At 39.8% G+C, this 16,317-nt stretch overlaps 1 long non-coding RNA gene across 2 annotated transcripts in view; it reads left to right on the forward strand.

The window, feature by feature from the left end:
• LOC105374971 (uncharacterized) overlaps window positions 1-16,317 on the forward strand; it is a 241,097-nt gene that overhangs the window by 10,687 nt on the left and 214,093 nt on the right. The window contains exons 3-4 of one of the 2 annotated variants that reach the window (XR_001744023.2): window positions 8,310-8,425; window positions 8,508-8,584. The exons of the other annotated variant lie outside the window; for it this stretch is intronic. This is a non-coding gene — a long non-coding RNA (uncharacterized LOC105374971). Of the gene's footprint in view, window positions 1-8,309; window positions 8,426-8,507; window positions 8,585-16,317 lie in introns of those variants that run through there. 2 annotated transcript variants of the gene reach the window in all.

Here is a 16,317-nt window from a genome sequence, read left to right on the forward strand (position 1 = left end):
ACTTGTGAGAGCCAGATAACTTATAGACGGTGGATGTGGTCAGTGTTATAAAAGAGATAAGATAAGGCTTTGTAAAGCATAGAAAATATTTTTATTTTATTTTATTTATCAAGATGATGTTTCAGTTGTCTTTACTAAAAGATCTAATTTTGTTGGGCAGAATTAGGGTGATCTCAATATAAAAAGACTGGTTAGAAGAGAATAAGACAGTAAAGATGATTTAACGGAATTAACCAGAGAGGTGAGTGGGAAATCAGGAATGTGTAGGATGATGAGAATTAAGAGAAAAAAGCATTACAAAGAGAGAAGGGTCACAATCTGGAATGATTTGACAGTGCTGAAATCAGATGAGGACTGAACTATATCCACTGTATCCATTGAACTGGAAGTTATTGGTGAACTTAGCATGAGTAGATTGAGCTGTAAACATGAAGTGAGCAAGTGGAAGTGGCAGGTAGTGGGAGGCAGCAAATAGAAAACTCAAAATTGTGGGACTCGAAGGGCGGGATCCTTGCTCTGTTGATTTTTGTGTTTTGGGAAGGAAATGTAGTGCTATAGTCATGTAGTACTCATACAAAAATTAATTTCAGTTGGTGGATGAATGAATATTTGGAAAAAGGTTAATTATATTAGAAATAGGACAAGACTTTGGGGAAAAAGTGTTGAGAGTATACTCTGGCTCTAGCAAATTACTAACTTTGTGACCTTGGGCAAGTCATTTAACCACTCTGAGCCCTAGTTTCCTCATTTATAAAATGAGTGTAATGGTAAGTGACCTAATTTCCCAAGACAGTTGGTGAGAGTGTGAAATAGGAAACTTTACATGGATGTGCTTTATAGACTGTGGTGTGCTTATCAAATAGACACTCGTATTTTCATATTGAAGGATTACAAGCTATGTCAGAGACTGATGAGGTAGCCGGCTCATTTCCTCTTCTTGGACTATGTTTCCCTGTTGCACTTGCAGTGAGGTGGCCATGTAGTTGAGTTTGAGCCAGTGACATGTGACCAGAGGTGATATGTGATATGTGTCTTCCAGACTCAACCACTGAACCCTCCCACAAGGGCTCCTGTGTGCTGCCTCTGCTTCTGATGATTTGATGCAGATACATATGGGGGCCTTAGAAGATACATACTGATGTATATTCAAATTCTTACTACCAATTTGGAAAATAATTTGGTACCAGCTTCAAAATTAAAATATTATCATACTCTAGAGTCCTACTGTTCTACTCATAGGTATATTTATTTCAATGAACCTTGCCAATGTGCATTAGAAGACATCTGTGAGTTTATTGATTATAATAACCCCAAACTGAAAACAGTACAAATGCCTATCAATAGGAAAGCCAAATGTCCATTAACAGAAGACTGGAGAAAATAATTTATATTCACAAAAAGATTATGTAATAATAAAAGCCAGTTACTATAACTACATGCAACTACATAGATGAAAGAAAAATAATGGTAGATGAAAGAAACATAATGGTAAGTGAAGAAAACAAGTCACAAAAGAAAGTATATCTTGTGATACAATTTTTTAAAACTAAAAAAAGAGAGATGGAATGGCAAAACAAAGCAACATATTTTTTCAGGGCTGCAAACATTGTGATTTTTTTTTAAAGAGGAAGGGAATTGTATAAATAATCTATTATTAAAATAATACTGCAAACCACCACCCCAAAACTCAGGAGCTTACAGAAAGTAACGTGTATTATATTATCGATCTGGCTTCCAAGTCAGCTGTGTCTGTCTGATCTTGCCAGTGCTTGGCTGATCTTGGCTGGGCTCTCTGTAGCTTCCGTGAAGCTACAGGCTGGCTGGGTGGTTCTGCTAATCTTGGCTGACACATGCTTATGGCTTGGCTGTTGGCTGATTAAGGATGGCCATGATTTAGGGTGACACAACTCTGCTCCACGTATCTGTCACCATCCAGCTGTCTAACCTGGCCAAGTTCTCAGGTCAGGGCCCAGAGGGAAAGAACAAATAAGGCTGATTCTGCCAGGGGGCACACAAGAACATGCGTGTGCTTTCCAAAGCTCTACTTGCATCTGATTTGCTTACAGCCCACTGGCAAAATCAAGTCACCCTATCAAGCCTGGAATCAGGGGGAGGGGTCCCCATAATGGTATAGAGCAAAGGACATTTGGGAGGCCAATAATTAGGGCTATTAATGCTATCAATCCACTGTGGGAATATATGATCATGACAACCCTTATCAGGGAGGCAGGGGGTGAACTAGAGAAGAACACACAGTTACTGGCAGGTTGTTGGTAATATTTTAATATTTTAATTCTTAAGCAAGGCAGAAGTTAGAGGTTTCACTTTGCAAATTATACTGTATAACTTACATACACATTACATATATTTTTGTATAAGCACAAAATCCTATATGTTTTTTAATTGGACAAAAAAAATTCCAAAACAAAGCAACAACCTTTCAAATGTAAGGAAAACAAAGAAAAGCTGAAGGGCTAATTTGGGAAGTCCAGTGGCAAATTGGGCCTTTGGATTCCATTTCCAGGTTCTGCAAAATAGGATATTAATTGTCTCCTTTTAATAGAAGATTGTGACTTTGACAAAGAAATCACTTATTAAAAGAAGTTGAAGGGCAGGTTTGCCAACTAGGGAGAATGATTCTCTCTTCTAGAGACCTCAGATCAAATTTCAACAATGTAGAAAAGCCACGTTTATTCTGCTCTACTTTCCTGTCTTTTATTGTTTGTTTTATTCCTGGAACAAAGACCACAGCTTGTCTTCGAAAGACTTCCATGTGAGTTTGAAAGGGTGTAGAATTTGGAACATGCTCTAGCTCAGATAAAACTCCTGATTTTTTTTTTTTTTTTTTTCAAAGCGCTCCTCAATCAGACCCAGATCTCAGACCTCCGGGGTTTGATTCATTCATCTCTAGCTAAGACTATGTTTTCTAGCCTCTCTCCAGAAGACTGGGAGATTCACTTTAAAAAGACGCTGCTGCTGCTGCTTTTTTTTCATCACAAAAGAATTAATGTTTTCACAGCCCTTTGAAGACGTGGTGTCACGCATGTGCTGTTATTAATAATAAAATACAGATCTGTTTCACACCATCTGAAAAACAGGGTTTTGCCACCATGAAAGAGCTTTTATTTCTACCAGGTCTTCATGATGCGTAGCCCAGATCCAGCTCAGCCTCAGACTGGGGAACCATGTCCCAGAAAATGGGTAAAGAGAGGAAACAGCTGGAGAGAAACAAAACAATGCACAACACCCAATACGTTAAAAAATAAAAATTCAAAGGAGGCTTTAATCACCATTGGAGATCATTTCCCCTGACTGCAAGCATTTTAGATAGAACTGGATTCAGCACCTGCTAAAGATGGGGCCTGGTGAGTGGATCCTGGATTCTTTATGGATTCTGAAGAAGGTAAACATCCCCAGGTTCATGAGCCTGTTCAGACAGGAAAGACAGTACTGATTGCAATCTGCTGTTAGTGTTTCCTTTTATATTTGTTCAGTGCTTTGAGTCATTCTTTCTCCTTTTCTTCTCTGAAACTACTAACATTGCTCCTCCAGTAGCCTTTTGCATTTACAAGCTACCTTGTCATGCCTTGGTTTTTGGGGAAGAGGAGATAGATGTAAAGTGAGGCTACTGTAAACAACAGTTCAATAGAGGCTTCAGAACAGGGTCCATTTAGGGAGGTGAGTGCAAACATTCCATGAAATAAAAAGAACCGCTTCTGTGAGCTCAACTCACAACAGGCACAGCCACTGGCAATAGCAGCCTGAGAAGGAGCAAATTTGAGAGCTGGGTCTGTTATTCTTATTTTTGTAAATCTTTGCACCTGTCTTTGGTGGCAAGATTCTCAACTCATTTCCCTTGTTTCTGTTCCTCCTCCTCCCTGCACTCCATGCCTCTCTGGGGTTCTGCTTGTTTTGGAACTAGTGATTCAAAATGGACTCCAACATTGTTTCTGAATCACAAAGCGTTTGCAGAAGAGGGAAGTATTTCTTGCTCCATTCCAAGCCCCAACACAGAAGGTGTTGTATGGAAAAGGGAGCTGAAGGGAGAAGAAAAAGAGGAGGAAAAAAAAAGAGGCAAAAGTAAAAAACTCAAGGAAATCAAGACCATGCTGTGCAAAATTGTTACAGCTGTTTCTGTTTTTATTGGCTGTTTCTTTTGGCTTCATTTTTCCAGCAACTGCAGTTCATGTGAGCAGGAAGGCATACAGCATGGCCGAGCTCCACGGTGGGCGGAGGGGAGGACAGAAAAGGGACTGAGAAAAGGATGGAAGGGGCTGGGTGTGGAGGTTATGAATTGTGGCACAGTGCTTAGAGGGGACACACATCAAAGCATTTCTTTTTTTGATAGTTTTGTGGAAGCCTTAGCAATAGAATTTAGAGGCATTTACTGGAAAGCTCCTAAAAGCATCCCATCTCCATGGCTGGATCAGATAGGTGGTCTGTTTAAGGCAGTATACTATCCTTGAAATGATGCTCTGATATCTGTGAGGAAATAATGTGTCAAGACACATCCCTTCCCCTTTCCCTCCTGGATAGTGATTCACCTAGACCAGTGCACAGGGCAGAACATACGGGAAGTGCATATTTTCCCTGGGGGACTCTATTTCTCATGGTTACAAATGGAATGAGTTATATGCCTGCTCAGTGACCCTATGAAGATATTGGCAGCTGGGATACAGCACCTCAGGGCTTGGAGCGAGTTGCTCACCCACCTTGATCCCCCTGCAAAGCAGCTGGAAGGTGAGCCAGAGACAGGCACATGAAAAAAGCTCACAATGAGTCTCTGTCTCTTTCTTAAAGCTTCCTATTAAATATGTGATTTAAATGACATTTTTAAGGTTTATAAGACTGCTTACATTGGAATTCTTGAATGTGATAGTATTTTTAACTGCACTGGCCCTAACACACACACACACGCGCACACACACACACACACACACACACGTTCGCACTGACTCTCACTCTTTTTTTTCTTTTTGAGACGGAGTCTCACTCTGTCACCCAGGCTGGAGTGCAGTGGCATGATCTCGGCTCACTGCAACCTCCACCTCCCGGGTTCAAGCAATTCTCTGCCTCAGCCTCCCGAGTAGCTAGGATTACAGGTACCCGCCACCAGGTAATAATTTTTTGTATTTATAGTAGAGACAGGGTGTCACCATTTTGGCCAGGCTGTTTTTGAACTCCTGACATCGTGATCCACCCGCCTTGGCCTCCCAAAGTGCTGGGATTACAGACTCTCACTCTTAATCAAATTAATTTTCCAAACTCTAAGGAAACATCTTTCTAAAAGTGAAAATTGTGTTCCAAATGAGGGCAAGTGGGTAAGAGAACTGGAAGTTAGAAGATAGAGCAAGAGGAAAAAGTATTTACTTATATTTGACTTGCAGTTATATCCGAAGGGAAAATACAATAAAAAGTTGATTAATAACAACAAAACCTCCCTATATCTGGTGATAAAACATTGTTTGCATGCTTTCACATTTTAAACAAAATTCCAGCTATGCTGTAGAATGAGAGGTGAGCCAGAATCCCAGTGCCCATGCATTGGTTCTGTTTTGGAGACTTGGTTTTACTCTGAACTGGGCTTCTGACTTACTTGGCTACTGGAGGGCAAATCATAACCAATATATCTCAGTGCTGTCATCCAAAAATGGAGGTGGACTTGGGAAGATGGACTAATTAAAGGTTGCAAAGCACTTTTGAGTCTATAAAGCCATATGTAATTGCAACCATTAAACCTAGTAATATAATGAAGTGTTGAAAGTTGTGTCTTCGTCATTTTGTTTTCTAAATTCAGTGAGAGACTCCTTCAAAGCCCATTCTGTTTACTTTCCCAAGGAAATTGTCTCAGTCCATTTTCTGTTGCTGTAACAGAACACCTAAGACTAGGTAATTTATAAAGTAAAGCGATTGATTGGCTCTAGAGGTTGGTAAGTCCAAGAATGAGGGGTTGCATCTGGTAAGGGCCTTCTTGCTGTGTCATAAAATGGCAGAAAGCATGACATGGTGAGAGAGAGCAAGAGTAGGCCAAATTCAGCTTTTATAGCAAGCTTCTGATAAGAATCCATTCATCCAGAGTCCTCATGACATAATCACCTCTTAAAGGTCCTACCTCTCAACACTGTTGCACTGGGGATTAACTTTCCAACACATTAACTGTGGAAAACACATTCAAACCATAACAGAAATTAATGAATGAAAAAACTGGTGATTTGGGCCAATGCGCTCTTGAACAGTTATGTATTTTGAGATATACCAAGCTTTTTTCTGCATTTCCTAATATTATTTTTATGTTCATTATGTTACTATTAAACATTTTTTCATTACGTTATTATTTTCTTATGTATTAATAGTAGTTAATAATACATTTACCAAGAATTAAATTTGTTTAAAATTTCGCAGTTGGGGCAGAGTTTACCAAATGTGGAGTGAGCCTATCTGTTGTGAAATAGAACTCACTAACCTCTTAACACAGGAAAATCAGTGATTTCATCAGATTAGAATTACATAGAGAAGCTATTCTCTGGGTGCAAAGATTGAAATTGCTTCTTGTGAAAGACACAGTTTCACAATTTCTTGTGAAATTGTTTCTTGTATCTAGTTTAAAACAGACACAAGAGAAACTTCATATGTAGTGCTGACACGTAAAGAGTTGGAGAATGAGTTGTCCCTTTGCGCCTCAACTTCTCCCTCAATGTCATGGTGGGCAAAATTATTTTGCCTTAGGCTTTAGCTGTAAAATGGGTTGCTAGCACTTGACCACAAATGGAATAATTACAATGAGGTTTGGAAGCCTACAGCATTTGTATTGAGGACATTTCCCCCTTGTGCATCTGTTAACTGTTATTACAGATTTGAGATACCATTAATCAGTAGCATCTTTAACAAATGTAGAGTAGATTTTTGCATACTGAGGTTCAGCCAGGCACCCCCATTAGCTGGCATACATTGGACCTCACTTGCAAAAACATGTTTCTGCTGTTATTCTTACAGAAGGCTGTATGTTCACACACATGCACAATTATGAGACTGAACACTCCCTTCTTCTTTGGATTGCTCTTTGATCTTTTGTAATTTTGCTGCTTGTGTCCATATGGAAATGTTAGCAACCAGCAGGCAATTCCTTTCTATTATGATTCCTCCTGATTCCTCCTCCATTGTCTTTCCCCTTGTTGTTTCTTGTTTGCATTGGGCTCCAGACTGATGCCAACATTTCAACGGGGTACACCTCATCAGTTTCAAAAGCTCAATTTGCTTTAAGTAGCCAGCAAAGCTTACCCTTATTTTTAAGTACCTGTTTATACCTGAGTTTCCCTGACATGCAATGACAACTTGGGCATCTCAAGAGAAACAGTTTTCTTGTGAGCCTGGAGACCTATGGGATTAGGCATGTAGGTCATAAATGCTGTCAGCATTAAGCTTGTTTTTAGTGCAGTGCTCTCTGGATTTCCATTTTGGTCTTTAATGACTAGGAGTACATATAATAACACACAGGCATGACCTCATCCAAAGACAATTTATTTAAAAATTGTCTTGGAATTAAAAATTCCAAACCCTAAAAAAGCTTAATTTGTGGGTGGTAGTTTATAACCATTTCTAAAATTTCTTCCTGTCTGTAGTACCCAGTAACTTTAGTCCTGGAAATCTCTCTTTTATTATAATGGAAAATACCAAAGATATGAGAGCACAGAAATATGTGCTTACTAAGGGAGCTTTCTTTCTCTTAGAACCTTCTGAAGCTCCTCCCTGGGAGAGATTAAATAATGTCCGCTCTTTCCCACTTCCCAATTCTATCTTCACACATCAAACAAATGAAAATCCTTCCAAAACTCATCTCCCTTCATGCCCACACTCAAATATGCTGTTTTATGTGGGTCGAACAAAGTCTTTTTCTGATTTTTCTCCCCATCTGTTCTTTGAATAAACATGCATCCTAAAGACAAGGAGGACTTAAAGGATCAAATTTGGTTCCTGTATTTGGAAATGCTATCAAAAGACCACACCGCACTTGGCCATTCGGTCAAATTAGATGCCGTTTGCTTCTAATAGCACTTAATTACTTCCCACATCACTTCTTCATCTGCATGACTTGGCTAGTATGAGGTTGGGAAAAGTTAAAAAAAAAAAAATCCCCAGTGTGTGAGCTGGTAGAACTGCTGCCTTTGGCTGTGTCTCCACCAGACCAATGCAACCAGTTCTTTTAGGTAAGCAAATTGGCTGTGCTGGGTGTCTGGAATTGTAGAAACCAAATAATCAGAGACGTAATCAGTTGGTTTTTAAATTTTTAACTTGTTGTTTGGTTGCCCTAGACAAACGCCTCAATTTCCTTCTTCTGTAAATAAATTAATACCTGGTGAGATGTAAAAGCCCACTTGAACGGAAAACAACATGTTTGATGAAATTCTGAGAGAAGATACAACCCAAGGTATGAAAAATTCAGAACAAATTATACTATCTTCAAGGCAGAATTTGGTTACCCTGATTAATTAGGGTTTTTTTTTCTTCAGATAAAAAGAGAGGGGAGAGTGGAGTAAAGAACTGCCTAACCTAATGTAAGTTTTCAGCTTTCAATAAATATTTCCAGCTTAAACCCTCTGAATAGATTGTGAGTATGTTTGTTCATCTGAATTGAATTTTGGTGGTATAATGTACAAAGACTTTTTCTTATCGCAGTTTAGTTCAAACCTGGGGTGGGCAAACTTTTTTTTTTTTTTTTTTTTGTAAAGAGCAAGATACTAAATGACTTAGGCTTAGGCTTTGCAGATCAAAAGCAAAATTGAGGATATTGTGTAGGGACTTCGTATGACAAGAAAGGTAACTCTTGCCCCTTCACCATCCTCTTTGTCCGATGGGCCCTTCTGGACCATGAGTGCACTTCATACACGGTCACTGTCAGCTGGAGGGAAACTTTCTCCAGACATTTGAGGGATTGGGGCCCAGTGGGCTGGCAGGACTGTGTGGGGATGGGGAAGGATGGGTGGTTACAGACACAGTAACAGAGGGGAATGGAGGTGGAGGGGGACACCCCAGATTGGTTTCTGTGTCCTCTGAAGCAGCACACATGAGCCATATGAAAATAGGCATTGGTCTGGATTTGGCCTGAGCTCCAGCTATCTGTTGTACATTTCCTCTTAGCTACTTGGCAGGCTCTTTAAAGAAAGACATTCCAAACTGAACTCATTATTACCTTCTTCCTTCTGTGCCCTATTTCTATAAATAACACCACTACTGATCCATTGCCCAAGTCAGAAGCTTTGTGTTCGTTTTCCACACCTTCTTTCCTTCATCTTCCTTTGTAGTCCCCCTTTTTTTCTTTTTTGCCATATAGCTACTGGGCTGGAAGCAACTAAAAGACAAGAATACATCTGGCTTATATTTATGTGATGAACTCTCTGTAGAGTGGCTGACACTGAGTAGGTTTTTAAAAAAATTGGTTGTGGAATTAATCTATCCATCACCAAGCCCAGTCAATTCCTCTTGATTATTTTATTCTCCCACTCAAAATTCTTCAATTGGTTTCCTTTGGATAGAGAGTAAATATAAAATAGTTACCAGGCTGCAAAACTCTTCCAGTTTTGACTTTGCTTATCCTAAAGAATAACCATAGAGAATCGCATTAAATATACTAACATCTCTCATCTGTTGTGTGTCTGTCAGGCCATGTTGTTTCCACTGCCTGGAGCATGCCTTCCCTCTGTTTTTATATGGTGACCCCCAACTCATCCTTCCTGATTTGACTTAGTTATCACATGCAGAAAGGCTTCCCAAGTACCAGCCTACTCGATAGGTGTCTGTTCTCAGAGCATCAGGACTCTACCTCTTTCAAAACATTTCATCAGTCTGGGCATGATGTCTCATGCCTGTAATCCCAGCACTTTGGGAGGCCAAGGCAGGTGGCTCACCTGAGGTCAGGAGTTCAAGACCAGCCTGACCAACATGGTGAAACCGTGTCTCTACTAAACATACAAAACTAGCCAGATGTGGTGGCGCACGCCTGTAATCCCAGCTACATGGGAGGCTGAGGCAGGAGAATCACTTGAACCTGCGAGGCAGAGATTGTAGTGAGCTGAGATCACACCATTGCACTCCAGCCTGGGCAACAAGAGTGAAACTTTATCTTAAACAAAACAAAACAAGACAATACTTCATCAGTGCTAAGATTAGTTGCTAAGTGTGTTTAGCTCTTACTAGATTATATACAGCTTGAAGGGAAGACTTTGTCTTTGTTTCTTTGCATCCTAGTTTGGCGCTTGGAATACAGCAGACAAGAAATGATCATCTGACTGAAATGAACAGGATGCATACCTCAGTGTAACTGAGAAACCGCAGAACATCATCCACATTCATGCAGACCTAAGAAGGCATTTCTAGGCTCCTCTGGGCCTTTCCCAAGCCTTCTATTTGTCTGGAGCCAGAGGGAACCAACTATGATCAAGCTGTATCAGGGTTTGTTTTGTGTGCTGAAAGTCACAAGGTTCCAAAGGGAAAGGATCTGGCAGGAGAGGAAAGAGGATAAAAATGGTTGGGGGGACCTCCTCTTTTAGCTTTGGAGCTCCCCCCCAGACTGTCTCTGTACTGGGGAGCTTCTTTCTTCTGTCTTCTCCCTTTCTCCTTGCCTATTAAACTCTCCGCTCCTTAAAACCACTCCATGTGTGTCCATGTCATATTATCTAAACCGGCATGAGGACCAAGAACCCTGGTGTTCCTCCACTCATCAGAGCCGTATCATTTTGGTGCATGGGGCGGGAAAGGAAATTCAATCATCAGACTGGTGAATATGGAGCAGATTTCAACTTTAAATCTGTCCTTTAATCTCAAGGCTCTCTTCTAGCTACCCTGTCACCAAACTTTCTCTTTCTATCTGTGGTCTCTTGCCTTCTCTCTGTGTGTCTTATGTGCAGGAATCTTTACAGTTCAGGGAAACAGTTCTGTTGGAAAAGATCGTGAATCATGGCAGGCAGTAACTCAATCAATGTCTCCCTCTCTACATTTTCTCTGGTGAGCACATGGTATTTCTAAGCTACCTAGTAGAAATCAGGCCCTAGGCCTCTTCTGGGAATGGGAAGTTTCTGCTTTTAACGGTTTGGAGTAAGATGCCTTCCAAAGCCAAGTTTGAGTCTTGATACTGTCCCACAGGCAGGAAAACAGCCATTCGGTTCTTATGTTCTGTTAAGGCATCGATTTTGTCTCCTATTAAGACAGTACTTAATTAGTAAGGGGATTTTGAGTCTGGAGGTTAACCGGAACCATTCTTCTATGGGTACATGCTTTAGCATGGGCCATAATAGCAGAATATAGAGTTCAACCTAGCACGCCCCCCTCCCTTAAAGGGGCCTTGCCCAATTACATGGTTTTTTTGAGATCCATTTTTTGGAAGGCACATAGGCCACACAAGTCTAGGAGATCGAAGGGAAATAAAAGGCAGAGAACTGATTGCTTGGGGACATGGTGACTAAGGCCCAAAACTCAGTTCCTCTGGTGCCATGGCTTGGAGCGTCATGCCTGCAGTCATGGGCAGCACATTTAAGCTGGTGCCGGGAATCCAGGAGCGACGGAGAGAAAATAGTTGGGAGGACACCCTCTACTGTTTTCATCTCCATCCTGGATCACATACTGAAAGGAAGGAGACTAAAAGGATGCTTTTATTCTCACTTCTCTTTCTAGATGGGTAACAGATCATCTTCAACATGCACTCCACTGGAGTGTATGTTGAAGCATTGGGACTCCTTTGACCTTGAAACTTTGAAGAACAGTGGCTTATTTTCTTTTGCACAAGGGTATGGCCTTTCTACTAGACCTTTGCAAGTGTTGCAAGATCAACCCAGCTCTTTTAGCAACGATATCGGACAGGCCCAGGCAAAATAGTTCCCCCAAATTAAAAAAGTAACTTTCAAGGAAATCATCTGAGGGTCTTCCTTATTTGGGGCCCCTTCAAGTTCCCTTCTTATTGCAGGACCTTAGGCAAGTAAAGGGAAACTGAGGCTGACTTTTCTGACGACCCTGAGAGGTATATAGAAGCTTTCCAAAATTTAACTCAGGTATTTGATCTCACATGGAGGGATGTTATATTGCTGCTAAGTCAAACCCTCACTGCAGCTAAAAACAGGCAACTCAGCAAGCAGAAGAAAATTCTGGAGATGAGCAGTATGTCTCCTATAGTAGGCCAGAAGGGAAAAGAGAAAATAGGGAAGGCCAAGAAATAGGGGAATCACCATTCCCAATAGGAAGAGAGGTATTACCTCTTAACAACCCTAATTGAAACTCCTTTCTATGGTGTTTTTTCCTTCTTTTGTGGTTTAAAATGGCTTCTATCTCTTGTATAATGTTCTTACAACCTGCCTGGGAAAAGTTAATTTTCCAAATCTTAAAATGCTTGGTGTAGAGTTGAGCTAGGGACGAGGGAACCCAGAAGCCTGGCCGGCAAAAGGGTAAACATTTCTTACCAGGTGGGCTTTTGGCTTCTCTCTCCCTGTGCAAACTGGTAAAAGGGATAATAAGGATCACCGTTGATGTTCTCTGTAAATGTATAATTAATGAAAAAGGATTTGTAAGGTTGGTCTTAAGCTGCAGACAATCTTGTGTACTTTGCATGTCTTTCTATATGGTTCTGTCGGAGAAAGGGTGTCTTAGGTTAGGATGCAGGCCCAGGAGCCATTAAGCCTGCTGTTCAAGCCAGCCCAAGAAAGCGGTCGCTGGAAAACTTGGCTACAGGTCTCCATCTTGTTTCATGTCTTTGGAAACATAATCTGTAACCGCGTGGCAATACTTTATTTTAGTCTCCGCCATTTTACAATCGTGGCTGTCTTCTTGTGCTAAATCAGATATGCCAGTTTGTCAATCTGGGTGGTGCCAGCTGATCCATCAAGGGCAGGGTTTACAAAATATCTTAAGCACTATCTTCAGAGCAGTTTAGGGAGGGTCAAAATCTCGTAGCCTCCAGCTGCATGGCTCTTGGGCCATAGTTTATAATCCTGTGGCTAGTTTCTTGGTCTGGTCTCCAGGTAAGAGGGAAATATATCTTGGAAAGCTGCTGTTACCATCTTTGTTTTAGACTATAGACTGTAAACCCGGCTGCTCCCAAAATTGGTTCAGTCTATGGCCAGGAATGGGCAAGAACAGCTTGGGGGCTGGAAACAAAATGGAGTTGTTTGGGTCAAATCTCTTTCACTCTCTCAGTGACAGTTTTGCATTGACAGTTTCAAAAGCTGCCTATCACGCCTTAAAAAATATCTTGTACACTTGTGGTTAAGTCATAACCTAATTAAGGCTCATTGGTTTCACCCAGAAGGGTACTTTTTGTAAAGTTCAAAAGGTGAAAATCTGAACTGCTTGGTGTGGCTAAAGTCAAGTAACAAGAGATATAAAAGGATTTTTTTAAAGAATGCACAGCTTAATTAAAAGTAGATATTCAAGTTTTAGGTATATTTTAAAGGTCTTTATGTTTTTCTTTTCTCGAATCTTGTTTTTCTAGAAAAAGGCTCTTTTCTTCTCAGTTAACTGAATTATTTTTCTCCATTTTTTGTCTTACCACTCTTAATGCATGCATAAAAGGCCCTAAAATAACTTCTGGTAGTGTGGGACTCCTGGGGAAAAACAGAGGAGGTGCCACAAACCCCGTTTTGGGGAAAAAACCCTCCGTTTTCCTCGTGAAACTCCGGGAATTAAAAGGAGATAGATCCCTTTCAAAATCAAAGGCTCTGTCCTGTTTTGCATTGTGTTATCTGCCAGTTTTGAGTTTGGGGGGGATCAGAAATACTTTGCATTATGAGAGAACTTTGGTCTGTAATAACTAGCTAAAAAATACACTGTAAGGGATGGCTAATAGTAGTTATAAATCAGAGAAGCATGCTCTTGGCCACCTGGAAGATAAGGAAGCATCCCCACTCCCTACTGGGAGATGAGACTCCCATCAGGGATGGGCTAATTACAAAATAAACCAATTGGCTTTGGGTTGCTTTGTAATGAAATGCATGGTAGAAGCACTGCACCATCTTCTCCCATAACATCTATATGGTCTTTTCATAAATTAAGCATTAAAATAAAAGCATAGCAAGGAGGTCTTAAGACACTCATCTGCCCTTTAGTAAAAGGGTTATTATAAAAGGTTTGTAAAGATTTCACCTCATGGTCAAATTAGTTAGGATTACATGGAATAATCTATAAGGTTTCATGTAAACGAATTGGGGTTAACATTAATAAACTAATACAAGGGTAAAATTTTGCTTTGAACAAAATTTTCATGTCATAGTAAAGGCTAATAAAGGTTTTTGCCTTTTGAGTCATCATTTTGGCAAAATAATTTATGGCAACCTGGAAATTGTCCTTCCTGATGCCTGGCTTTTTGGATGGTTCAAAGGGCTCCTGAAACATTCAGAAAAGAGGTAGACAGGATCATTTGACATGTTTAGTCATATGAGATTGCCAAAATGATGTCCAAACTTCTTTAAGTTATATTTTGGTGAATAATACTAATATATGTTCCAAAATTATATGGGATTTCTAAAATTCTAATATCTAAGTATATACTATCAATTATAATTAAGGGTAAAGTTATTATAAGCCACAAAGATAAATAAACTTGTCAGTCGTATTTTTAACTGGAACTATCCTGGAAATTTGTCATTTTGCAGAAAATTGTTATCTTGCTTTGTTCCTTCTCAAAAGATGGTTTATAATCAAGCTATATTAAGGACTTTAATAGGTGTTCACAAATGCAGGTTTTTAATAGCTTTAAAGATTGTAACATTGAAATAAAGAATGTATGAGACTCATAAAGAGCTGACATGTTGACAAATGTAAAGCAAAACGAAAGTTAACTGAGTGGACTACACTTAGAAAGTTAAAGGAACCTTTTTAACTTTTGCTTGGAATACTGCTGATCCTTGTTTTGATTTTCAGAGTCAAGGAAAGTTATTTTAAACTATTTATGGCCTTTAATAATTGAGTAGGGTATACTCCTGTGAACAAAATTTGGACCATGTTTATTTTTCTCTGCCTGGTTCCTCTAGAATTTGGAGACTCTCTGTGAGTACTCTTACGGCAATATAGTTGTTTGCATCAGTGCAATAAGAATCCATTTTTCTTTGTCAACAGGACACAATTGGAAAAACTGGTTACTTTACCAATGCTTTTACTGAAAGGGTGTGTTTCCCTTTAAGGAATCAAGCTTGACATGCAGAGCCAATACAAGCCCCTTGGGGAGAACTGGCCTCATATCTTGTCTACACAGTCCCCACACAGGGTTCCTAACCTGTGGTCAGTAAAGAATGTTACTTTCTAACAGGTCTGGAAGCTCTGAGTTTATCTTGGGACCTCAAGAGGAGAGGATCACACAACTCACAGGTATTAGAGGATACAAACCCATGGGTGGGCTCAGCTTTAAAAGTCTTATCGGAAATTTTTGGTGGAACAGAGTTTCATCAAAGCGAATCCAAAAGGCCTATGTAAAAGTAACATTCTTGCTGCACTTTATGCAAATAATCAGGCCAAGTATAAGACTTAAGTTTACTGATAATTAGTTTTTAGCAAAAATGAGGACTGGAGAGAAAAATTTTGCTCCAAAGCTTATCATACATTTGTCATTAAATCCTAGTCTCATTAATTGTTTTTAAGCCTTTTGCCTACATTTTAGACTAACTCTGCTTATTCCTGTCAATCAAGTGGTGATCTTCTGCAGGTTGGGAAAAAAAAAAAAGGGATGGGTAATGTAAAAATGTGAATCAATATGCTAGTTCTGGGCAATTATCTTGCAAATTCTGCCAGGTAATGAAAGTGAGTAAGGTGCCCATAACCTGGAGGTTTCTTTGGGAAAATAAAACCAAGGAACTTCATAGACCCCCAAAGGGGAATTCTATATCTTGGCAAGTAAAATTTTAGATGGAAGTTACCTACCACACCATACTTGTGGGAATTGCTGTCCTCACTCTACTATTTGCAATAGGGTTATACATGGTAGCACCTTCTAACTGTAATATTGGACAGAGAGTTTCCATTGCTGTAGTATTTTGCTTAATTATTATCCTTATAGCAGAGATAATAGTTGACAAAAAGGAAGCATGAAAATTTTACTATCACTGAGTCAGCTAGGACTTTTTATTGGGTTTAGTAATGCAGTTTCAGATGAAACATGCTGCTTTTGGATTAACACGTCTAGTACAGTAGAGGAAAATCTACAGGTACTTAAAAATCAAACCAAAGTTATTGACAGGCTTAGGGAAAATGCATGCTTCAGCCCCGAGTGGCTACAATTCCTCTTTAATAAATTCAAGCCTCTTTTTTTTTTATACTTTAAGTTCTGGGGTACATGTGCAGAACGTG

This window comes from Homo sapiens, chromosome 6 (genome assembly GCF_000001405.40).
Source record: "Homo sapiens chromosome 6, GRCh38.p14 Primary Assembly".
Lineage (NCBI taxonomy): Eukaryota > Metazoa > Chordata > Mammalia > Primates > Hominidae > Homo > Homo sapiens.